Genomic DNA, 26,165 nt, shown 5'->3' on the forward strand with positions numbered 1-26,165 from the left:
GGGAGCAGCTGCGCGCGGATGCCTTTTGGCCCTCTGCGGCCGCCGTAGCTCCCCGGCAGAAACCCGGAAGTGGAACTCTGAGCCATTCAGCGTTTGGGTGAAGACGGAGGCGGGTTCTACAGAGACGTAGGCTGTCAGGGAGTGTTTATTTCGCGTCCGCTTCTGTTTCTCCGCGCCCCTGTGCTGCCCCGACTCACATACTCGTCCAGAACCGGCCTCAGCCTCTCCGCGCAGAAGTTTCCCGGAGCCATGGCCGAGTACTCCTACGTGAAGTCTACCAAGCTCGTGCTCAAGGGAACCAAGACGAAGAGGTGGGTCCTGCAGCTTGGGCGGGAGCCTCCTCCGTTCTTTTCGGACGCACTCCACCCCCGCAACTCCGGTGGAAGCCGTGGCGCGGAGAGCCGGCTTTGTGGCCTCCCAGGCTTCGCCCTGGCCCCTGTCCGGGCTGGACGGAGGCCGGGCCGCGGTTCCCGGCGTCTGTGCAGAGAGGGGCAGCCTCCCGCGCGGACGACCCTGGAAACAGGATAGACGGGCAGGTGACCCGTGACCCCGTACCCACGAGTTTGGGTCCCCTGAGGCATCTCTCCAGGCCTCTGCCTGGGGGGTCTGCATTAGTCTGATCTCGTAGTTCATGATAATTTCCTTTATTAGGGATTATTATTTTCTCCATTGTCTCTTTTCTTTCTAGAAAACTTATTAATTTTTTCTAATCTAATATGTACAGTGAAACCAGGATGAATCACACAGTGGTTGAGGTGTATATGGGCTTTAGGGATATGGGCTCGAACCTGCACTCTTGTCATTTACTAGTTTTGTAATTTGTGGCAAATTGGTTAATATGTCTGAACTTCCATTTACTCATTAAGAGATCAAATATCTGAACCTCCGTTTACACATTTATACTTTCAGACGTTTTTTATACTTTTAGAAGACTGTGAGGATTAAATGAGAGAACATATATGCAGAAAATAAATTGAGCCAAATGTGAGGAGGAGGTCGTAATGGTAATTTATTAGCTTTTTAGGAAAAAATACCTGTGCACTCATATCCCCGCTTCTTTTTTAACTGGCAGATTTGCCCGAGGTACATACAAATGTCGAGTATTTCCTCCTGGTCTCCGTGATAAACAGAGGTTTTGATATTTTTAGGCGAGATAGAAAGTATCAAGGAGTGAGTTGAAGCCACTGGCCTTGAGAACCCTCTCGAGGAGTCTGGCCTCATGAAGATGCCAGAATAAATGGCAGGTTTATCCTGAATGAATGTGAGATTTTTACTCTGTGAATTTCCTGGGAGGAGAGGAGAGTTATCTTCTGAAAACTTTATAATGAAAATGCAGACACGGGTGTCTTAAGATCATCGTAATAATCATAATTAATGCTCATATAGCACTGTCAATGTGCCAAGAAATTGTTGTAGGCACTTTGCACATTAACTTTTTTTCAAATCACTCTTGGTTTTTTATTTTTTTATTGAGATATAATTCATAATTATAAAATTCACCCTTTTGTACAGTCAGGGGTTTTTAGTATATATTCAAGAGGTTCACCACTGTCTAGTTGCTCAGCATTTTCATCATCTCAGAAGGAAATCTCCCCCTACCCATTAAAGCAGTCACATCCCATCCTCCCCCTCTCCTAGTCCTTGGCAACCACTAATCCGCTCTCTATGTGAAATCGCCTATTCTGAATATTTCCTAAGAAATCATGCAACATGTGGCCTTTTGTATCTGGCTCCTTTCACTTATAACATTATTGAGGTTCATCATTGTTGTAGCGCCTGTTCCTTTTTATGGCTGCATAGTATTCCATTGTATGGATGTATCATTTTGTTCATCCATTCATCAACTGATGAACATTTGGGTTGTTTCCCCTTTTTGGCTATTGTGACTAATGCTAGTGTGAATATTCTTATGTAAGTATTTTTGTGGGTGTATGTTTTCATTTCCCTTGGGTATACATACTTAGGAGTAAAATTGCTGGGTCATGTGGTAACTTTAACTTTTTGAGGAACCCCAAACTGTTTCCTGTAGATGCTGCACCATTTTACATTTCCACCAGGAATGTGTGAAGGTACATATTACCTCTTAATCCTCACAATAGCCTTAAGAGTTAGGTTAAGTTACTATCCTAATTTTTTAAGTGGGGAAACTGACTCAGAGAGATTCAGTACCTTTTCCAAAAATCACGGAGCTAAGAAGTGAAAGAATCAGGATTTAAAATCTGGCAGTGTGGCTCTACAATCTGCTTTGAACTCTAACGTAATATGTGCAAAGCCTGAAGCAACTTCTCAGTACTGTATTTAAGAGGGCATATCAATGTAAGTCTTCCTAAATCAATAATTTATAAATGAAACAGCTTAAAAGACTTTCAAGTTTCAATCTTACAATATTTATCGTACAAATCAATATACCTAAACTCGTCTATATAAATTATGTCCTGTAGTAAGAAGAAAAAGAGCAAAGATAAGAAAAGAAAAAGAGAAGAAGATGAAGAAACCCAGCTTGATATTGTTGGTGAGTCAGTTTTCAGTGCTCTATTCTGAAAAAAGTTAATGTTTCTTGAGATCTCCTTGAAAGTGTTTTCCTAGTTAGAAATTTATGATGTATTCATATTTGTCTTAAAGTGCTTAAATATTACCTACAGTTATAAATTCCATTTATTCTTTAACACAGTAGATGCTACTGATGCCTTTACTTCATTATCAGGAGAGAAAAATTATAACTCTCTGACTTAGTAGGCACCATTAGACTGCTTAATAGCCAGAGATTCTAATACATAATTTTAAAGGCCTAATGTAAATGTTATTCAACCAAATATCTTTTACAAGTTATTTTCTTTGCACATGTATGCATTTTAATTGTAGAAGTCGGTTGTCTCTTAAAGGAAGTATCTTCACAGGAAAAATCATTATTTTGTGAACTCTGAAATGAATGAAAATTTTAAATACAACATCAGGGTAGCCTGTAAATGATACTAGAAATAAACTGACCTAAACACACTTAACCAGCCTGTTTTCCGTTTAGTTCTTTTCCATACATATTTTTTTCTCTTTTAAAACTTGGCAAGTTGCATTTTGAATCTTCATAAATTATGGTAACTTAATATATAAAATATGGAATGGTATAAAGCTAATGTTCTGGAAGAATCATTGCTTTCAAAATGGCAAATCAACAATTCTAAAATTAGGGTAAATATCTAGGGTAGATATGTAGATGTGGAATTGCTGTGTCAAAGGATAGGTGAATGTTTAACTATATAAGAAAATGCCAAAAGTTTTCTAAAGTGGTTGTGCCATTTTACCCTCCTACCAAGAATGAATTAGTGCTCCAGTTACATCCTTGCCAAGAGTTGATGGTGTTATCAGTCTTTTCTCCCAGTCTGAGTTTTACCTTTTCAGTTTCTTAATGGTGGTTTTTGGATGAGCAGCTTTTTTTTGAGACAAATTCTCACTCTGTCTCCCAAGCTGGAATGCAGTGATGCGATCTCGGTTCACTGCAAGCTCCACCTCCCGGGTTCATGCCATTCTGCTGCCTCAGCCTCCCGAGTAGCTGGGAGTGCAGGTGCCTGCCACCACACCCGGCTAATTTTTTGTGTTTTTAGTAGCAACAGGGTTTCACCATGTTAGCCAGGATGGTCAGAAGCTTTTAATTTTTATAAAGCTCAGTTTATTTTTTTTTTCTTTTATGGTTACTGTCTTATGTCTTTGATCTAAGAGATCTTTGCTTACCCCAAAGTCAGGAAAATATTCTACATTGTCTTTTAGAGGCATCATAGTTTTAGTTTTTACATTAAATCTGTCATTCATCTCAAATTAAATTTTGGCATGATGTTGTGAGTTCGGTTTCAAGATTTACTTTTTTTTTTTAAACATCTTGATAGCCAGTTGTGCCAGCACCACTGGTGTTTCCTTTTTCCATTAATCCACTTTGGTATCTTCATAAAAAATCAATTAACTTTCTATGTATTGGTCTGTTTCTGGACTCTGTTCTATCGATACGTTTGTCTGTTTTTCTGTTGGTATATTTCTCTTGATTGCTATAATTTCATGAAGTCTTGAGATCAGGTAGTGTGAGTCCTCCGACTTTGTACTTATTAACTGTTAATTTATTAATTTCTGCAGTGAAGTTTGTTGGATTTTCTCGAGAACTGTATTGAGTCCAGATCATTTGGGGGAGATCAACATCTTAATATTGGGCCTCAATATTTCATAATTTTCAATGTAGCCATCTTGCATGCCTGTTTAAACATTTATTCTTAAGTATTTTATAATTTTACATTACTGTCAATAGAACCTTTGAATTTGATTTTCCAGTTGTTTGCTGTCAGTATGTAGATATACAATTGATTTTTGTATAGTGACTTTGTAGTCTAAGTCTGTTTCACTTATTACTTCTAGTGGTTTGCTTATATAGAAAACTAAGAAATTTGCAATTATGTTTCCTGTGACTATCGTTTTACTTCTTTCTTTCTAATCCTTTTGTCTTGTCTTTCTTTTTATTGGTTTATTATACTGTCCAGGACTTCTATAGCATTGAACAGAAGTCATGAGAATGGGCATAATTGCATTGCTCTCAAGCTTAGGCAGAAAGCTTTCAGTAGTCCACCATATGGTATGACGTCTGTAGGATCTGCAGAGAAAACTTTTATCAAAATGAGGACATTCCTTTTAAAACTTTGTTTCTTGGGAGTTTTTATCATAACGATGTTTAATGCTGTCAGATGCCTCTTTCTGTATCTGTTGAGATGATTATACAGCTTTCTTCATTCTGCCAGTGGATTATATTGGTTTCATTTTCAACTTTTAAACTAACTTTACATCCCTGAGATAAACCCCACTTGGTTGTGGTGCGTTGTCCTTTGGGATATTGCTAGATTTGATTTCTAGGTGTTTGTGTTTTTTGTTTTTTTTTAAGATTTCTATATTGGTGTTGATGGGAGATATTGGACTTTTGTATCCTTTTCTTGTAATGTCTTTTTTTGATTTTGGTGTCAAGGTGATACTGGGTGTCACAAAATTAGATGGAAAGTGCTGTCTCCTTTCCTATTTTTGGAAATAGCTGTGTAGAGATGGGTATGAGTTGTTCTTTACATGTTTGATAGAATTCACCAGTGAAGTCAGCTGAACCCGGAGGGTTTTGTTTGGTTTGGTTTTAGTTTTTTGTGGGAAAATTAAAATTTTTTAAGAGATATTTTCAGATTTTTCTGTTGTGTCAGTTTTGGCAATTTGTGTCTTTTAAGAAAATTTCATCTAAGTTGTTGGATTTATTGGCATAGAATTGTTCAGAATATTCCTTTAATATGCTTTTAATGTCCGTAGAATCTCATCTGTATTGCAGTCTCTTCATATTGGTAATTTGTGTTTTTGCTATGTTTTCCTGGATCAGTCAGTCTAGCTGGAGGTTTCTCAATTCTTTACAAGATCATTTATTTTAGATCGTTAATGATCGTTTAGTACAGGTGTATTCAATCTTTTAGCTTCCCTGGGCCACAATGAAAGGAGAGGAATTGTCTTGGGCCACACATAAAATACACTAACGATAAGCTGATAAGCCAAAAAAAAAAAAAAAGCAAAAAAATCTCATAATATTTCAAGAAAGTTTATGAATTTGTGTTGGGCTGCATTCACAGCTGGCCTGGGCCACATGTGGCCCTCAGGTTGGACAAGCCTGTTTCAATATTACTTATTTTCTCTTTTTTTCATTTTCTATTTCATTTATTTTCAGTCTTTTATTTTTTTCCTCCCTTTAACTTATTTTCAGTTTACTTTGCTCTTGTTTTATTGCTTCTTAGGAAGGGAGTTAGATCTCTTCATTCCACTTTAGTTTCAGTTATAGTCAACACATTTTGTTTTCATTTTCATTCCATTCAAAATATCATCTAGTTTTCCTTGTGATTTTTCTTTTCATGGACACGTGAGTTATTTAAAAGTATATTGTTTTTAATTTCTACTACATAGAGATATTATAGGTATGTTATTGTTGCTGATTTCTAATTCATTTATAGTATAGTTGGAGAACATACTTTCTTAGTGAATTTCCATGTAGACTTGAATGTGTATTCTGCAGATGTTGGTTCAGGGTTTTTTGTTTGTTTGTTTGTTTGTTTTTTTGGAGATGGAGTCTCGCTGTTGCCCAACAGGCTGGAGTGCAGTGGTGCAATCTCGGCTCACTGCAACCTCCGCCTCCCAGGTTCAAGTGAATCTCCTGCCTCAGCCTCCGGAGTAACTGGAATTACAGGCACCTGCCACCACACCCGGCTAATTTTTTAAATATTTTTAGTAGAGACAGGGTTTCACCACGTTGACCAAGCTGGTCTCAAACTCCTGACCTCAGGTGATCCTCCCGCCTCGGCGGGATCCAGGCGTGAGCCGCGGTGCCCGGCCAGTTCAGTGTTCTTTAGATGTCTGTTAGATCAACTGGTAGAGCTTGTGACTATGCATATCTTCTGTGTCCTTACTGATTTTTTACTAATGCTACAGTGTATTGATAGTTATGTTAAAATCTCCAGCGGTAATTCTAGATCTGTCTACTTGAGCAGTTTTTGCTTAAAGTATTTTGAAGCCGTCATGTGTACACATTTAGGATTGTTAAGTCTTCCTTATAAATTCAGTCTTTCATTTTCATAACATTTTAACCTTATTTCTGTTAAATGTCTTGATGCCTAGTCAAATTATTTGACCACCCTTTTGCTCCTGTCAAGCCTGGGCCTTTGTTAGTTTGTGCTTATTTATTAGGGTTTTGCTCGTAGACTTAGACAGTGACTCTTAGTCTAGGAAAGGTTCATCCTCATGGGCCTCAGCCACATGTTCTAGGTATACTTAGTGAGTTCTCTCCACTCTGCTGTGTCCCAAATTTGTGTGATCTCTGGCATCTCCAGTCAGCCCTCAGAAGTGCCAGCCACTCTGCAGAGGCCTTGTGGAGCCTGCCTGCTGCATGCACTCCCCCCAGCCCTTGGCCACAGACCTGCAGAGAACTTTTGCGTACTCTTTTGAGGCCTCACCTGTATGTAGTTCCCTCTTCTCCAGTACCTTATTCTATAAACTCCCAACATGTTAGCACTGTAAGACTCTCAGCTTAGTGACAGTGACATTGCCTCATTTCTGGAGGTCTCTACCTCTCTCCGTGTGGTCAAGAAACTGCCATTGGGCAGAAAACACAAGTGTGTATGAGATTTGCCTCCAGTGTTTTCCTGTTCTCAAATATCACAGTCCTGTTCTGCCTGTGTTCCAATCTCTGAAAACAGTTTTCTCAAATATTCTATCCAGTTTCAGTTTTCTCGTTGGTCATGGTGGGAGGGCAAGTCCATCTTGGCTGGAAGAGGAAGTCCTTCTGCGTCTTTTTCTCTTTGTCCTTCCACATGGTTTTGCATTGTGGATTTTCTAAACTTGCCGTATAAGTAAGCATGTGCCTATTTGTGAAGGGAAAGAAAAAAAACCTTTTAATTTTTTAAAGCTGTTCTGTTGGTTCCTCACAAGGATCTGAAGGGATTGGTAAATAGGATGAAAGAAATTCTGTCTTTCACATGGAGAAAACCAAGTGTGACATTAATAAAAACGAGCATGTCTGTAGGCAAAGAGTTTCACTGAGCTCTGCTAGATTCAGAAGCAGTTGGACTTACAACATCGTACTTTGCAAAACACATATATTTTATTTACCCAGGAACTAAAGCTAAGTCAGCTGTGGATTAATAGAAGGTCTGTGAAGGGTACTTAGACTACAGTAAGATTGGGGAAGAAAATTCCATTTCCAAATCTAAGATATATCATTCCTTTGTGCCAAGCACATAATGATAGTAGAGATTTAAGGGGGCCCTTAGCACGGAAGCACTGGGTTAGTCAGAAGGTGAGGTGAGCTGTCACACAGCCTTGATGCTAGAATGAGGGTGCCCTGGTACTATCTTATCAGCCATGACACTGGTGCATTGGGCCATTTTTTTGTTTTGTTTTTTTTGAGACAGGCTCTTGCTTTGTTGCTCAGGCTGGAGTGCAGTGACATGATCGTGGCTCAGTGCACCCTCGACCTCGTAGGCTCAAGCAATCCTCTCACCTCCGACTCCCGAGTAGCTGGGACCACAGGCTCGTACCACCACACCCAGCTAATTTCTTAATTTTTTTGTAGAGATGGGGGTCTCCTTTTGTTGCCTAGGCTGATTTTGAACTCCTGGGCTAAAGTGATTCTCCTGCTTCCACCTCTCAAAGTGCTGGATTACAGGCATGCCAGACATATGTAAACATTCTAAACTATGTGACAATATGTGTAAAGCTTTCTCATGCATTGTGAGACAACACAGCAGGAATATTTCACCATCTGCCTAAGGTTTAAAAGGAAATAACTTTAAGCATGTGTCTAAATAGCAAGTAATGTTTTAGAGCGGATTCTCTTAAATTCAGCTTGGGCATCTGCACCATATACACAGCTTGAGCTGTCACCTGACGTAGAGACAGGCAACTTCAGTGCCCGTGTTCATAGGATCCACTGCTTTCTCACAGCTAAAACCCCAGAGTGGCACCATTAAGTATTATGTTATGTTACTTTAGTCGATAAACATATAAGCATACCTCCAAAGGTTGAATGTAGGCCACTTGCAGAAAGTAGGCAGAATGCTCACATTTAATTCTTGATGATACTGTGTTTATATTTCTTATTCTTTGAAATTGCATTGAGAAAAAATACTGGCATCTGCTCAAAGTAATTTCTTTTTCAGTTGACAATATTAAAGTAACGTTATTGTATCATTTCCCTACTTGGACAGAGTGTGAAAATTTTAAGGAGCTTGTCTGCCAGAAATTTCTTCTTCATTTGCAAAACATTAATGAGTTATTATATTTAAATGATTTTATTTAATATTAAGTGTACTTGGTCAATGTGGCATAGAACATACAAAATAAATCTAATTTAAAATCATTAACTATTATATTTATAAGAAAGACTTGCTAATCATAACACTGTTGATAATGATTCTGAATAAAGCATTATTTCTTTTCCTGAAAACAATTGTAGCTATAATTCAATCATCTAAATTGCTTATTAGTTTTATTTCTTTTTAATTGTCTTTAGCTGAAATTTTAATTTTGATTAATTTTCTTTTTCTCCATTGGTTTTGTGTGTGTGTGGAGGTAAAATATACAGAATATAGAATTTGCCAGTTTTTCTATTTTTACGTGTATGCTTCAGTGGCATTTAAATACATGCACCATTTTACCTTCCCACCAGCATTGCACAGGGTTTCCGTTTCTCCACATCCTGCCCAACATTTGTTTTTCTGGCTTTCTTGGTTTCTGTTTTTTGTTTGTTTGTTTGTTTTGATAATAGCTATTCTAATGGGTGTGAAGTGGTATTGCATTATGGTTTTGATTTATATTTCCCTAGTGACTAGTGATGTTGAGCGTCTTTTCAAGTGCTTATTGGCCATTTGTATATCATCTTTGGAGCAATGTCCGTGTATATCCTTTGCCCAGTTTTGAATTGTGGTATTTGTCTTTTTGGAGTTCTCTATATAGTCTGGATATTAATTCCTTATAATGTATGTAGTTTACAAATATTTTCTCCATTCCCTGGGTTGCCTTTTACTCTGTTGATGGCGGTTCTTGATGCACAAAAGTTTTTAATTCTGATGAAGTCCAGTTTGTCCACGTTTTCTTTTGTTGCCTGTGCCTTTGATGTTCTACATAAGAAATCATTGCCAAATTCATGTCGTGAAGCTTTTCCCATTTTCTTCTAAAAGTTTTCTAACTTTAGCTCTTACATTTAGGTCTTTGGTCTGTTTTAAGTTACTTTTTGTATTTGGCATTAGATAAGGGTCCAACTTCATTTTAGCTAAAATTTTATGTATTTTAAAATTTATTATGGAAAGCATGAAATGTTTAGTTGAATAGAAAATTTTGTGCAGTGGAATTAACTGAATCTTTAAAACCTTTTTATTATGGAAATATCCAAACTATTCCATACATAGAAGAATATAATGAGTCCCCCATGTGCCCAGGCCCCAGCATTAATTATCAATATTTTGCCAATCTCATTTCATTTACACACATGCCCCCACACACATTTTTTCTTAGAAAATTTTAAGTAAAATCACAGATGTTATGTCATTTTACCCATGAGTACATAAACGTACATTTCTTAACGTGGTATGTCTTTCTGTCATCACCTGTTTTGTTCTTTATTTTTATATATTATACTATGTCATTATCAGACCTTGTAAAATTAACAAGAATTCCTTAATATGTCATATCCAGTTAATGATTGACTCATTTCTACTCTAGCTAAAGTACAATTTAGGAGGAGGTTTGAGGATATTTTTTAACATTAAGATATAAACTTTTATAACAACGGCTTAAATAATTGTTCCTAGAGTCTAATATTTCTATTGGCAAATTGGAAATTAGTATACATAGACATAGATTCTGCTCATTTTACTTTCAATCTAAAATCATAGTTAAGATTACTGGCCAGGCGCGGTGGCTCACACCTGTAATCCCAGCACTTTGGGAGGCAGAGGCGGGTGGATCACGAGGTCGGGAGTTTGAGACCAGCCTGGCCAATGTGGTGAAACCCCGTGTCTACTAAAAATACAAAAAAAATTATTCAGGCATGGTGATAGGCGCCTGTAACCCCAGCTACTCGGGAAGCTGAGGCAGAGAATTGTTTGAACCCGGGAGGCAGAGGTCGCAGTGAGCCGAGATCGCATCACTGCACTCCAGCCTGGGCGACAGAGCGAGTCTCCGTCTCAAAAAAAAAAAAAAAAAGATTGCTATGCTAGAAAGTCTTCCTGTAGAGGCATTTTTAAGAAACATTATGATAGGCATTGGCTCTGGAAAGCAGGCATGAAATAGATGACTGGGGTCTATCATGAGAGAGACCATTCTCTATATGTCACTTTGTACCTTCACATGTTGCCTCTTGTTTTGTTTTGGTCTTTTTTTGAGACAGGACCTTGCTCTGTCACTCAGGCTAGAGTGCAGTGGCATGATCATAGCTCACTATAACGTTGAACTCTGGGCTCAAGTGATCCTCTTTCCCCAGCTCCCCGAGTAGCTGAGATTACAGGCATGCACCCCCATGCCTGGCTGTATGTTGCTATTTTATGTTTTAAAAACCTAATCCTGACTGTGCTGGTAGTCGCATGAATCTCTGCACATACATGCAAACAAGTACATGTAAAACTGGTGAAATCTGAATAAGCTTCATGGATTATATCAATTTCAGTTTCCTGATTCTGACAGTGTATGATACTTATGCAAGATTTAATCGAGACAAAGTGAGTAAAGAATATGTGAGATCTTTGTATTATTTCTTACAACTGCAAAATAAGAAGTTTTTAAAATTAAGTTATAATAACAAAAAAAAGAACTCTGTGTCAAAACTAAAATATAAAGTTGAAATATTGATTTTATTTTTTAGGAATCTGGTGGACAGTAACAAACTTTGGTGAAATTTCAGGAACCATAGCCATTGAAATGGATAAGGGAACCTATATACATGCACTCGACAATGGTCTTTTTACCCTGGGAGCTCCACACAAAGAAGGTTTGTGTCTGGAAGGGAAGAGGCTGCCACAAGTGTAGATTTTAGGACATTCATTCACTTAGGCCAAACTCTAACTAGTCTCAAACATTTTCCAAAGGAATGGAACCATTGCATTTGACTCTTCCATTTTTTTTTAATTCCTTAATATTTACCAGCCATTGGCAAGTCCCTCTTTCTAATATAAGCATTTGAAAACATTCCGTATAGTTCCAGAAGAGTATCTTTGGAAATCAAAATAACATGAATAATTAAAATAGTAAGTGGAAAGAAAAAAGAAAACCTATTTGAGTCAAAATGTTTGAATTTCTTTTTTATTCAGACCTATTGCCAAAACTAACCTGGGTGCGTTTAACAGTTTGAAGTTTCCTCATTTTCTTTAGCCCATTAGAGGAAGCACTAATGAGATATGAAGTAATTAGAAGATAAAAAGCAGTATCATTTGGTCAGCAAGGCCATCCCTTGAATAAGTGAAAGCATTTAGCTTTTTAAATAAGTGCTTATTTATGACTGTATTTTAAAACATAAAGAGAAGCTATCTCAAAAGTTATTAAATAAGCATTATATCACCCTGTCTTACTCAGTGTATAAAATTAACACTGTAGTTAAAAGAAGGTAAAATAGATCTTGATTCCAAAGATACAGTATTACAGTGACATCAGTATATCTGAATATTCTTACATTTAATTGCAGAAGAAAATAGCCACATTTTTTAAAACAAAATAATGTCTTTATATTTATAGCAAATGTCAAATTTATTTTCAAATGTTTTTTCTCCAATAGTTGATGAGGGCCCTAGTCCTCCAGAGCAGTTTACGGCTGTCAAATTATCTGATTCCAGGTGAGCTTATGTTGTAATATAATTAGTAACCAGTTATTTTAAAAATTTAATTGTATTCATTAAAAATTTTAGTATCTGTCTTAAGCCCACAGGGTAATTTTGATGTAAAAAACAAAATAGCTTTTTTGAAAAGTAGATTTTGTGATCTACTTTTAATGGATTTCCTATCAATATATAATGCTAGGCTGGAAAAAAAATAAGTTAAAAAGTGAAGATTAATAATTTCACATACCGAATAAGATAGATTAAAAAATGAATCAAATAGTACAAAACCTGGTTCACTGTTGCTGTGATATTTAAACTCACTGTTTGGAAGTCCAAAGGCAAACAGGAAGACTAAAAAAAGGAATATTGTTGAAACCAGCAGAGAATGTTACAGAATCATAACGACCAAAAGAATATTTTTACTCACTATTTTTACAGTCATTTTATAAAGTAACCTTTTTTATTCTCACCTTGTGCAAAAGTATAGAACGATTCTTTGGGCAGAAGATACTGAAAGTGAATTTACATATTTTAGTAATTGGTTACATCAATATGATAATGATTTCTGTTATATAATCATTAATGTATAAAGGAGTAAAAGTCAATTCTGGCATCCCAGGAGATTCTCGGTAAGGTAAAAGATTAGAAATCATAATTTTAAAAAATCACATTAAGATGATTATTTCTGTACTTTCTTTGAAAGTCTGATAAGTATGGTGAAAGACAGAATAAAAGCAGAGGAAGAAAAAATTCAATAGTTTTAAACTGCTTTACAATTATAAACAAAAAAGGATTATAAAGAAAATTAACTGACAAATGAGGAAAATATTTGCAACAATCTTAATAGGCAGTGAGTTCTTACTCTTCATATGTATCTTGTATAGAATTCATAGCACTGATGACCCCAGTAGAAAAACTGCGAACAATCAGATCTCAATAGAAAAATGGACAAGGGACATTACCAGATAATCTAAAAACTAAAAAGGAAAGGAAAAGAAAAACAATTGTTATTCTAGTTAACTACTAAAATGCAAATTTATAGGATACTGTTTTTTCCATATCAGGTTTTCAAGTATTTTTTTAAAGTCATAATGTTTAAAAAAAAATGCGTGATACAAAACATACTCTGTTAATTTGAGGTAAGAATGTAAATGGAAGCAGCATTTTCTGGAAAACAGTTTGATGACATAAGAACTTTATACTCTTCGATCCAGTTATTTCTAGGAATTTTTTCTAAGGATAAAGCAGTTTTATGTACAGAATAGATGTACATAGAACTATTTATAATAAGAGAAAAAGTAAGTTTTAGTAATTTATTCTTGAACTTTATAACTAAAGAGGTATAATTGAAGAATGATGAATTTCAAAAATATTTGTTATGTAATATATAAGGTACAATGTTTATATTAAAAAAGCACAATATAAAACTAAATTTAAAACTGCACTGTCCAACATGGCAGCAACTAGTCACATGTAGCTTTTTTCTTTTTTTTTTTTTTAAAGGCACAGAGTCTCACTCTGTCACCCAGGCTGGAGTGCAGTGGTGTGACCGTATCTCACTATAACCTCAAATTTCTGGGCTCAAGCAATCCTCCTGCGTCAGCCTCCCAAGTAGCTGGTATCACATGTGCATGCCGCCATGCCCAGCTAACTTTTTAAATTTTTTGTAGAGATGGGGTCTCACTGTGTTGTCCAGGCTGATCTTGAACTTCTTGCCTCAAGCAATTCTCCCGTTGGCTTCCCAAAGCACAGAGATTACAGGAGTGAGTCACCACTCAGCCACATGCAGCTTTTGAAGACTTGGAATATGTGCAGTCTGAAATTTTAGATATGTACACAGCCACACACATACGCATGTCCTGTTTTGATGTCCTATAATTAATTTTCTCTCAGTCTTTAACTTTTATCTATGTTATTAATGTACAGAATCGCCCTGAAGTCTGGCTATGGAAAATATCTTGGTATAAATTCAGATGGACTTGTTGTTGGGCGTTCAGATGCAATTGGACCAAGAGAACAATGGGAACCAGTCTTTCAAAATGTAAGTGCTGTTATTGTTTATAAAAACTTCCTGTCAGTTTAACAGAAAGTCTGTTAACAGTCAATCATAATATATTTAAAAAGAAAAAGTAGGATGCAATAGTGTAATACATTAAATAGGAATAAATCAATAAGAACATAGAGCCTTAAAGAGATCTCAAAATATAGTGCAACAAAAATCGCATTAGTCCTTTTGCCCACAATTATTTCTGTATACCCTTAGTGCCTAGATATGGATCTCATTTCCATTGAAGAACCAGTCAATTTTAGGTCTCAGAGTAGGAAAACAGAGTAGTTCCTAAGTATCTTTGTAGCAGAAATCATGGATGCTTTCAGAAACATTAGAGACTGTAAGCGAACAGTGGAGCTTGCTAAGACCAAGTTGTGACAATTTGTGCATAAAATAAATAATAATAGTTCATTGAAGTAAATTATCTCTAAAAGACTTTCAGTTCATAAGCTTAAAATAGCATACGAAAAGATAGTTTTAATATAAGAAGAAAAAAGATAATATACTAATTCTTAATTTTAGTAAGTAGACAGTTGTATATGGATGTTTTGTTAAATCTTTGTTGACACAGAATACATAATTTCCTTTTTCTGTTTGTGTGAGAAGTAAAGATTGAACAAAAATATGTGAGTGCTAAACAGTCTTTAAAAAGTAGATAACTTTATCAAAAACAGTAAGGACCAATGGGCACCACGCAGAGCAAGCAAATAGAAGATAAGCTTAGCCTTTGAGTAGCAGCTTTGGTAGTATACACTAATGAATTGAAAATAGGAACTCAGCAGTGTTTTCTAAGATGACAGATTAAACAAACATCCCTCCAGAAAGAGGTAATCACTTAGACTAATTTCCTCATCCCCTAGGATAAAATCTTAACTCAGTGACTTGAAAACTATTTTGGCCCAACCCATTGAGAAATGCATTTTTACATTGCAGCCCAGCACACATGTATAACTGAAGCAAGAGTTGTACTTAACAATACTTACTTATCCATGTGTTATGCACCTTGATATTTCTTATTCTCTTTTACCCCTTCCTCTGTGAGTCTGTGTGTATTCCTTCCCCCGCCCCCCATACCGTACAGGAAACAACACTACATTGATTTCATGACCCGCTAATGTGTTGCAACCCCTTTGAGATGATCCTACTAGTTAGGATGAGATACTTCTAATAAAAGTTACACCGGTAGAAAAGGCCAATATATCATAAGGCCTTAGATGATGACTTAGATAGTACTAATAATACAACACTTTAGGAAAGTTCGTTTCATTTTATTTTTAGGAAGGACACTAAGTTTCAAAAATTTAAATTTAAATGAAAGAGGGTCTTAAAACTATTGCAAAAGGGACTCAGCTGAATAATCTGTGGCACAGGTTTAAATCGTCTTGGACCACACCACCATGTTCCAGGGCTCACCAGGAGCCATCCAGATGAGAGACCACCCAGCCCTTGTGACCTTGACTAAGAAATTAAATCCATGTTATCAGCACTTTTTTAACTTGATGTGATATAAGGTTAACATATTTTGTAATCATTGTATTTATAAATATTTTGTCTAAATGTTATGGTATTCCAAGTTTTCCAAAAGAATCAACCAAATACAAGTTATAAATAAACATTATATTTGTTAAGGGAGTTAAGCTAACCAAATTTATAACCCAGATTTAGATACACAAGAAAATCAGTCTTTAAAGTTTTAATAGAAAGCAGTGTAATATATCAAACATTAAACAACTAAAAAAGTATATGAATATTTATTTTCACACACAAAAGTCCCTCAGACATTGATTCTTAAATTCAAAACACCAAAGCATTGTATGTACCTTTTCATGTTTTCTAATTGTGAAGAAAATAAATTTTACTTAAAATGCTAATATTTGAATAAAGTATGCATTCATAATTATGTTCTTGTCTTTAAAGTTAATTTTTCAAACTGAACTAAATCAGTTATGTCTTCAGTAGATCTTTTAGAAAGGAAGCAATCCTACCTCATCTACTTAGAATTTAGTCCTACTAGGAAGATACACTACAAATGTTTATTGTGGTAATCTTTGAATAGTAAAATGATAGGTGATTTTGGTTTCTTTTCTATATGTTCTTGTATTATATTTTTCAGGTTTTTCTCTAAGTTCTTTTCTGTGATTTTTAAATCAGGGAGGAAAAATTAATTCAGTCTAAACACTTAATGTTTCTCCCACAAGAAGTATCCTCATGGCTATTTTGTTATTTGTTTCACTTAGGGGAAAATGGCTTTGTTGGCCTCAAATAGCTGCTTTATTAGATGCAATGAAGCAGGGGACATAGAAGCAAAAAGTAAAACAGCAGGAGAAGAAGAAATGATCAAGGTAATGATGACATTTTATACAGATGACTGCATTCACACATGCGATGTGACTGTATCTCTTTAAAATGTTAAATGGTCATTTACTGTCACTTTAAAGATTTACTTAATAGCTTTTTATAATGTGGTGTTTCAAATAGACTCATTTTTAATTATAAATCCCATAGTTGATGTCTTGTTTATACAATGTGGTAGAGAAATGAGTGCATCTAGGAGCTACCTTGCCATTATCTCCATGGATTAGTATCTTCTTCTGGTAGTTCCACATGCTCTTTTTAAGCTTTCATTTTCTTGTTTTCTTGCTTGTATTTTAAAATCTAATTTTTAAAATAGATAACATGTACACGTGGTCCAACATTTTCAAATAAAAGCATGTGAAGACGTATGCCTGCCATGCGTCTTACTCACCTGTGTCCCAGCACCTGTTCGTCTTTCCCTTTGTTTTTTTATAGCCTCCTAAAATTTCTTTATAAACATATGAATATGTTTATAATTTTCAACTGTTTTACGCTAAAGGTAGCCTCCTCTATAGTCTAGACTTCAATTTTTTTTTTTCCTTAAAATTGTATCTTGGAGAGTTTTCTACTATGAGTTTGAATGTAGAAAGTTTTCTCTTTTTCTTGCTTTTCCTCTCTTTCTCTCTCTCTCAACAGCCACATAATATTCCATTTCAGGGATGTACCTTAATTTATTTAGTCTTTTATAGATGGAAATTTAGGCTGTTTCCAGTCTTTTGCTCTTATAAACAGTGCTGCAGTACATAACATTGAATATGCATCAGTTTGTAGATGTGCGGGTGGACCTGAAGGTAAATTTCCAGAAGCAGAATTACCAGGTCGGGGTATATGCGTTTGTATTTACGTAATGCTTGAGCTTCTGTGATGATAATCACTCTATGAAACATAAAAAATCATAGCAGAACTTCTGGGGCCTTAGCCCTCAGATTTTAAAAATATTTTTATTAATAGTACCCGTCTTCTTTGCATTAGGAGAAACATGAATCACATAAAACATGATTTTTATTTTATTTTTAAAATTTGTGTGCGTCACTAAGCTGGAAATAAAAGTTCCTTATTCCAGGCTAAATTCCCTCATCCGTAGTCAGACGCGTTATCCATTGCACCAGTGGCCTGTGCCCTCTCTAATCCTACTCTTTGTTTTACATCATTGTAAAAGTTACACAGACATCTTCATATCAAGGTGAAATTCTAAATAATACTGTTAATATAACCTAGATAAATCAAGTAGTTAATTGGAATCTGATGAAAACATTTAAGGCTTAATTTTTTAGACTCACAGAAGCCACTGATCTTTAATGATAAACATATACCAGGATGTGTCTAAAGAATAACTCCCCACTTCTTGACACATGGCTTTTCTGTGTCTTGGCATTCCATCTCAGTACTGAGCATCCTGAACCTTGCTTTGTTTGTCTCTGTTGGGAATCACAGGTTGCATCCAGTCTGACCCAGATTTCCTCTGTAAGGCATTGTGGGGGCCAGAGTGGAAGGCTCTAAGAGAGGGGGCAAGTGCCTTTTCTAAAATGCCCTTCGTTCTTATAATTAGAGCATAAAAATTTATGTTACATTTTTCTCTACTACCAGTGCAATTTAAAAGCATCTATCAAATCTCTGTACATACTTCATGTTAGATTTCCTGTCATAAGTTTGATTTTCTTTTTAGAATAGTCTTGATTTCAAATAATTTCAAATCTAAAGCTCAAACAATTTCAATCTAAAATGTAGGTATTTTCTTACAGAAGGGAAATGTTATATTTTTTCATTGCATGCACCCAGCACATGCGTTGTAGTCTTGAATTTCCATAATGCCCCTGTGAGGTGGATGTGAGCTCAGCATTACAGACAAGAAGACAGCCTCTGACCCTCCTTACATCCTCGTGGTTTTTGTCAGTCAGTTCATGGAAATCACAGTGATTTCAAGGTGTGGTAAGACAGGATGTGTACCCAGGCCCAGCTGACTCCAGAGGCCACTCTCAATATTTCATAGCACATTGCTTCTCAGGAAACAGGTCATTGGGGAAATGCAGATGGGTTTGTGACTTACATTTAATTTTATTTATTTATATTTTATTGTATCATGTTTAAATTATTTTGCATCTGGATATCATCACAAAAGTGTTACTGAAGGCAACAATTGCAAATATATGTGCAGTGCTTTGCACTTATACAAAGATACAAAGATACTTACACAAAGATTGCCTTTTTCACTATTTAAAGCAATTTTCAGACGAAATACAAAGTTTTCTGGGTCTCTTTGGTTAGTCAAGTACCTGGAAGCTCTGAACAGTGATTATTTAGGACTCTTTTCCTTTACCATTTAATTGCAGGCTCTCCTAATCTCTGTCAGCCCTTCACCTTTATGACCTTGCCTTATCTACCAGAACACAGATCCCTCTTACTAAAGGTAGCCTTGTGTTACCTCTGTCAGCCCTTCAGCTTTATGACCAGAACACAGATCCCTCTTACTAAAGGTAGCCTTGTGTTACAGGCCCTAGCAGGGAATGTTTTCAGGTCTGGGACCCCTCTAATCAGAACTGTCACAAAGATGTCATTTGCACAAACACGTTATTTGTCATCACTTTCTAAGCAGCCCTGGAACTGGACTCTGGCCACAGAGATCCCTTAGGAGACATGAGTCCTTACCATTGCTAATTGCCTGTTCTGTGGGTGATCCTAATTGTTGAATGCAGATTAATTAACTTATGACATGTGGTAGTAAACATCTATCCAAACTTAGGAGGATATAAGAAGCTAGTAAAAGAGGTGGGTTCCAATTAGTTAAAAACAAGTTGTGTAATGTTAAAAGTTTTAATACTTTGGTAATAGTCTGTGCAACATAAAATAGCTATTAAGCTTTCAATCCGATCAAATGAACACTTGTCTACTAGGGATAATTTGATCCTAGTGTATTCACTTGGAGGACAAAATTAAATTAGTTAATGATCGCTTTATTTCCTAGCAGGATCTGATGTGTAAAATGTTTCTGAAATAATTTTGTCTGTAGTGTTTCTGACACAATGCTGTGGAGGAAGCATGTGATAGCACTTACTCATATAGATTATATATATGAAGTAAAAACACATAGCCAGAACCTTTTTCTGAATATAGTTGCTCAGTTAATTTTTTCTTCTGCATAAGAAATCATCTCGAATGTTCTTATGTGATACGTAAAGTGGGGAAGGTGGAAGATAAACATATAACCCATTGGATTCTCTTTTCCAATATCTAGATTAGATCCTGTGCTGAAAGAGAAACCAAGAAAAAAGATGACATTCCAGAAGAAGACAAAGGAAATGTAAAACAATGTGAAATCAATTATGTGTATGTATTCTTTTCCTTTTAGACCTACAGATTTGACAGTGAAGTGCTTCTCAAAGTGCTTTCAAAATAAATTACCTACTTAGCTGGGCATGGTGGTACATGCCTATAGGCCCAGCTACTCGGGAGGCTGAGACAGGAGGATTGTTTGAGCCCAGGAGTTCAAGGCTGCAGTGAGCTCTGATCACCACTGCCTTCCAGCCTGGGTGGCAGAGCAAGACCGTGTCTGAAAAAATGAAACTGATGGACAAGAAGAGACGACACAATGTAGCCTCTAGGACAGAGCACTGAGCTAAATGCTTTTCTTTTCTTGAGGCTTCAGTTTTCCTAATCATCCTACCACCTCCCAAAGCTAGTCACTCAGGTTAGTCAATCTCTCTATTCATTCATAGAATGGGTGTGATGCCAGTCAAAGGCTGTGCTATGGCCAGGACACAGGGGACTCTAGCCAGCATGCCCTAATAGAAGTGGGGCCTTGTGCTACCCAGTCAATGAGTGGCCCTCCTCTTGAGAGGTCATGAAGGTCATCTTTGTTGAAAAGCTCCAGCTTATTTAAAAAAATACAATTAGACCTTTTTTTTTCTCCCCCAAGATGGAGTCTCGCTCTCTCCCCCAGACTAGAGTGCCATGGCGCGATCTCGGCTCATCGCAACCTCCGCTTCCCAGGTTCATGTGATTCTCCTGCCTCAGCCTCCCGAGTAGCTGGGACTACAGGCGCGTGCCACTATGCTCGGCTAATTTTTGTATTTTTGGTAGAGATGGGGTTTCACCATGTTGGCCAGGCTGTTCTCGAACTCCTGACCTTGAGCGATGTGCCTGCCTTGGCCTCCCAAAGTGCTGGGATTGCAGGCATGAGCCACTGCGCCTGGCCTACAATTAGACTTTTTTACAAGTGAAAAAGAAATTAACAGTATTTATAAATTTAATAGTAAATATGTATAATCAGAGTTTGAGGTATTTTTCAATGAAGACATTTTCTTTACAGAAAGAAATTTCAGAGCTTCCAAGACCACAAACTTAAAATAAGTAAAGAAGACAGTAAAATTCTTAAAAAGGCTCGGAAAGATGGATTTTTGCATGAGACGCTTCTGGACAGGTAGCTATTTATTTACTTATTTCCACTATTTTCAGTAGCCAATAGAAATGGCATGTAGAAAACCTACATTCTCTTAAATTACTGTAGTTTTTCACATTTTTGTCTTTATTTCTAATTTATGAGTGTGGCAATATTACCTAAAGAGGACATCGTAAGTTTGGGAAAAGACTGTCATGAAAGAATATCTAAAAATTATAACCGATTCTAAGTATATACTTGAAGAAATTCAGGTTTGACTGTATCTACTTCATAAATTTATCATCTTTTTATAACTATTAGAACCAGAGTTAGAAGCAGTTTGACTAATATAAAAATTATGTGGATTCTGTTAGAGTAGTTCAGGTTCCTTAAAATAAGAATAGATCAACTAAAAAACTAAGTATAAAAGCTAAACAAGTGAAATTGAAGCAGTTTTATTATAAGATTTGGAAGAGTGCAGGATGTTTATCATACCACATTATTAATATTTATTACTCTTCCTAGGTAGATAAGTAATGTCCTAGATTTATGACATAGAAAAACAGAGACGTTTAGCTGTGAGTGTACAAGTATAAATCAATTAAGTGCCAGATTTTGATAATCACCAGCCGCTCATTCAAGTCGTATGTTGCAAAGTTACTCTTACCCTTTTTTTTACATTACTTGATAAAGGCAATGTTTAATTACGTATTTCCTGTTAACTAGCTGGTAGTGTTCATACCTAAAGTCAGTAAATAATGTTAAGAATTTTTTCCAGCTGAGCAAATGAATATGTATCTCATTGTAAGAAATCAAGAAGAGGATATAAAATATAATCAGGATGTGGACTCTAAAACGGAATAAGCTCTATGTCCTGTAACTTTTATCACTTGTAATAATACAGCATTCTCACCCTGTTAAATGGAAATTTAGAGCAGCCTTAAATTCCGGAATAATTAAAATTGCTATTTGGATTGAAAAAGCCCTTAGGCAACATTTATTGAATATTAGGAAATAACTTTTATAAGATTAGAATCCATTTTTTATAGAAACCAAATTTAAAAGTATACATATTTTAATAAAAGTGTTGTGGTAATAACCAAAATTGAACACACAGTTTTAAAGCTTTTTATATTTAGTAGCAGTTGAATATATATGGCATGTTTTACATAGATTAATTTTATTTTTCTTTGTTTAAACAGGAGAGCCAAATTGAAAGCCGACAGATACTGCAAGTGACTGGGATTTTTGTTTCTGCCTTATCTTTCTGTGTTTTTTTCTGAATAAAATATTCAGAGGAAATGCTTTTACAGAGTTCTTGAGTTGTGAAATTATTGTTTAGCTAGTTTAACCAGGATTAAACAAGTTTAATCAGGATTCTTCATGGATGTACTTTTTAGCTAACTACAGTTTTTCACATGGAAATGAAACTTACAGTTCACACTTAATGTACCACAGAATTTTTTTCTGGATTTCCTGTCCTGAAGCATGAAGTGTACTAGAAACCAATTCTTCCTGCGCTACTTGTGGAATCTGTCTTACTGGATCATAATCTTACTTTACTTTATATAATAGATGCTTAATCAGTGCCTTTAATAGAAGTTAGAAACTCCCAATCCAATCAACAAGGCTTTGGTTCTACCTTCTAAGTACTACCCAGATCACAGACAATCCAAATATCAGAACTAGGGGGCTGGGCAGAGAGGACAAATCATCTATTAGGGAGTGGGACAGAAAGCAGAAACATTACAAAGGAGCAAGTAGGCTCAGAACAGAGGGGAGAGTAGTACTGGGGAAACTCCCTGCTGAGGACAGGTTAGCCACAGTGGATATGTATGTGATGCCTTTGTCCTTGTGGGCTGGAATGGAAGCTGGTAAGGGAATAGGAACAGCTCCAGTCTACAGCTCCCAGCGTGAGCGATGCAGAAGACGTGTGATTTCTTCATTTCCAACTGAGGTACCAGGTTCATCTCACTGGGGAGTGTCAGGCAGTGGGTGCAGGACAGTGGGTACAGTGCACCGAGCATGAGCCAAAGCAGGGCGAGGCATCACCTTACCCAGGAAGAACAAGGGGTCAGGGAATTCCCTTTCCTAGTCAAAGAAAGGGGTGACAGACGGCACCTGGAAAATTGGGCCACTCCCACCCTAATACTGCGCTTTTCCAACACTCTTAGCAAACGGCACACCAGGAGATTATATCCTGCGCCCGGCTTGGAGGGTCCTGCGCCCAAGGAGCCTCGCTCATTGCTAGCACAGCAGTCTGAGATCAAACTGCAAGGCGGCAGCGAGGCTGGGAGAGGGGCACCTGCCATTGCCGAGGCTTGAGTAGGTAAAGTGGCTGGGAAGCTCAAACTGGGTGGAGCCCACTGCAGCGCAAGGAGGCCTGCCTGCCTCTGTAGACTCCACCTCTAGGGGCAGGGCATAGCCAAACAAAAGGCAGCAGAAAACTCTGCAGACTTAAATGTCCCTGTCTGACAGCTTTGAATAGAGTAGTGGTTCTCCCAGCAAGCAGCTGGAGATCTGAGAACAGACAGACTGCCTCCTCAAGTGGGTCCCTGACCCCCGAGTAGCCTAACTGGGAGGCATCCCCCAGTAGGGGAAGACTGACACCTCACATGGCCGGGTACTCCTCTGAGACAAAACTTTCAGAGGAACAATCAGGCAGCAACATTTGCTGTTCACCAATATCTGTTGTTCTGCAGCCTCCACTGCTGATACCTGGGCAAACGGTCTGGAGTGGACCTCCAGTAAACTCCAACAGACCTGCAGCTGAGGGTCCTGACTGTTAGAAGGAAAACTAACAGAAAGGACATTCACACCAAAACTCCATCTGTACATCACCATCATCAAAGACCAAAGGTAGATAAAACCACAAAGATGGGGAAAAAACAGAGCAGAAAAACTGGAAACTAAAAATCAGAGCACCTCTCCTCCTCCAAAGGAACACAGCTCCTCACCAGCAACGGAACAAAGCTGGACGGAGAATCATTGACGAGTTGAGAGAAGGCAGCTTCAGACAAACTACTCCGAGCTACAGGAGGAAATTCAAACCAATGGCAAAGAAGTTAAAAGCTTTGAAAAAAAATTAGACAAATGGATAACTAGAATAACCAATGCAGAGAAGTCCTTAAAGGACCTGATGGAGCTGAAAACCACGGCATGAGAACTACGTGATGAATGCACAAGCCTCAGTAGCCGATTTGATCAACTGGAAGAAAGGGTATCAGTGATGGAAGATCAAATGAATGAAATGAAGCGAGAAGTTTAGAGAAAAAAGAATAAAAAGAAACGAACAAAGCCTCCAAGAAATACGGGACTATGTGAAAAGACCAAATCTATGTCTGATTGGTGTACCTTAAAGTGATGGGGAGAATGAAACCAAGTTGGAAAACACTCTGCAGGATATTATCCAGGAGAACTTCCCCAATCTAGCAAGGCAGGCCAATATTTAAATTCAGGAAATACAGAGAATGCCACAAAGATACTCCTTGAGAAGAGCAACTCCAAGACACATAATTATCAGATTCACCAAAGTTGAAGGAAAAAATGTTAAGGGCAGCCAGAGAGAAAGGTTGGGTTACCCACAAAGGGAAGCCCATCAGACGAACAGCTGATCTCTCCGCAGAAACTCTACAAGCCAGAAGAGAGTGGGGGCCAATATTCAACATTCTTAAAAGAATTTTCAACCCAGAATTTCATATCTAGCCAAACTAAGCTTCATAAGTGAAAGAGAAATAAAATCTACAGACAAGCAAATGCTGAGAGATTTTGTCACCAGCAGGCCTGCCCTAACAGAGCTCCTGAAGGAAGCACTAAACATGGAAAGGAACAACCTGTACAAGCCACTGCAAAAACATGCCAAATTGTAAAGAACATCGAGGCTAGGAAGAAACTGCATCAACTAATGAGCAAAATAACCAGCTAATATCATAATGACAGGATCAAATTCACACATAACAATATTAACCTTAAATGTAAATGGGCTAAATGCTCCAATTAAAAGAGAGAGACTGGCAAATTGGATAGAGTCAAGACCCATCAGTGTGCTGTACTCAGGAAACCCATCTCACATGCAGAGACACACATAGGCTCAAAATAAAGGGATGGAGGAAGATCTACCAAGCAAATGGAAAAAAAAAGGCAGGGGTTGCAATCCTAGTATCTGATAAAACAGACTTTAAACCAACAAAGATCAAAAGAGACAAGGCCATTACATAATGGTAAAGGGATCAATTCAACAAGAAGAACTAACTATCCTAAATATATATGCACCCAATACAGGAGCACCCAGATTCATAAAGCAAGTCCTTAGAGACCTACAAAGAGACTTAGACTCCCACACAATAATAATGGGAGACTTTAACACCCCACTGTCAACATTAGACAGATCAACAAGACAGAAAGTTCACAAGGATATCCAGGAATTGAACCCAGCTCTGCACCAAGCAGATCTAGTAGACATCTACAGATCTCTCCACCCCAAATCAACAGAATATACATTCTTTTCAGCACCACACCACACCTCTTCCAAAATTGACCACATAGTTGGAAGTAAAGCACTCCTTAGCAAATGTAAAAGAACGGAAATTATAACAAACTGTCTCTCAGACCACAGTACAATCAAACTAGAACTCAGGATTAAGAAACTCACTCAAAACTGCTCAACTACATGGAAACTGAACAACCTGCTCCTGAATGACTACTGGGTACATAACGAAATGAAGGCAGAAATAAAGATGTTCTTTGAAACCAACGAGAACAAAGACACAACATACCAGAATCTCTGAGACACATTCAAAGCAGTGTGTAGAGGGAAATTTATAGCACTAAATGCCCACAAGAGAAAGCAGGAAAGATCTAAAATTGACACCCTAACATCACAATTAAAAGAACTAGAGAAGAGCAAACACATACAAAAGCTAGCAGAAGGCAAGAAATAACTAAGATCAGAGCAGAACTGAAGGAAATAGACACAAAAAACCCTTCAAAAACTCAATGAATCCAGGAGCTGGTTTTTTGAAAAGATCAACAAAAT

At 37.1% G+C, this 26,165-nt stretch overlaps 1 protein-coding gene across 2 annotated transcripts, besides 1 other annotated feature; it reads left to right on the forward strand.

The window, feature by feature from the left end:
• FRG1 (FSHD region gene 1) lies at nt 112-22,432 on the forward strand. 2 transcript variants are annotated; one of them, NM_004477.3, is made up of 9 exons: nt 112-311; nt 2,442-2,512; nt 11,402-11,527; nt 12,308-12,365; nt 14,277-14,391; nt 16,638-16,742; nt 19,988-20,079; nt 21,062-21,172; nt 22,333-22,432. In NM_004477.3, the coding sequence occupies exons 1-9, from the start codon at nt 250-252 to the stop codon at nt 22,367-22,369; spliced, it is 777 nt and encodes a 258-aa protein (NP_004468.1). In that variant the 5' UTR covers nt 112-249; the 3' UTR covers nt 22,370-22,432. The 2 variants fall into 2 exon arrangements, with proteins under 2 accessions (NP_004468.1, XP_016863447.1); XM_017007958.2 differs by lacking the exons at nt 112-311; nt 2,442-2,512; nt 12,308-12,365; nt 14,277-14,391 and having other exon boundaries at nt 11,454-11,527.
• Nucleotides 418-917: an enhancer, noted in NCBI's record as "H3K27ac hESC enhancer chr4:190862333-190862832 (GRCh37/hg19 assembly coordinates)". NCBI's record gives its function as "activates a minimal SCP1, AML or CMV promoter by ChIP-STARR-seq in naive H9 embryonic stem cells {active_cell/tissue: H9 hESC(naive)}" and the evidence as "EXISTENCE:reporter gene assay evidence [ECO:0000049][PMID:30033119]".

Source organism: Homo sapiens, chromosome 4 (assembly GCF_000001405.40).
Source record: "Homo sapiens chromosome 4, GRCh38.p14 Primary Assembly".
Taxonomy (NCBI): domain Eukaryota; kingdom Metazoa; phylum Chordata; class Mammalia; order Primates; family Hominidae; genus Homo; species Homo sapiens.

What these genes read in the sequence shown, in the direction of transcription:
- FRG1 (NM_004477.3), top strand. Translation starts at nt 250, where the DNA reads ATGGCCGAGTACTCCTACGTGAAGTCTACCAAGCTCGTGCTCAAGGGA. An exon ending in GGGAGCTCCACACAAAGAAG is followed by an intron (nt 11,528 to 12,307) that starts GTTTGTGTCTGG and finishes TTTCTCCAATAG; the next exon opens with TTGATGAGGGCCCTAGTCCT. An exon ending in GAGAAGAAGAAATGATCAAG is followed by an intron (nt 16,743 to 19,987) that starts GTAATGATGACA and finishes TCCAATATCTAG; the next exon opens with ATTAGATCCTGTGCTGAAAG.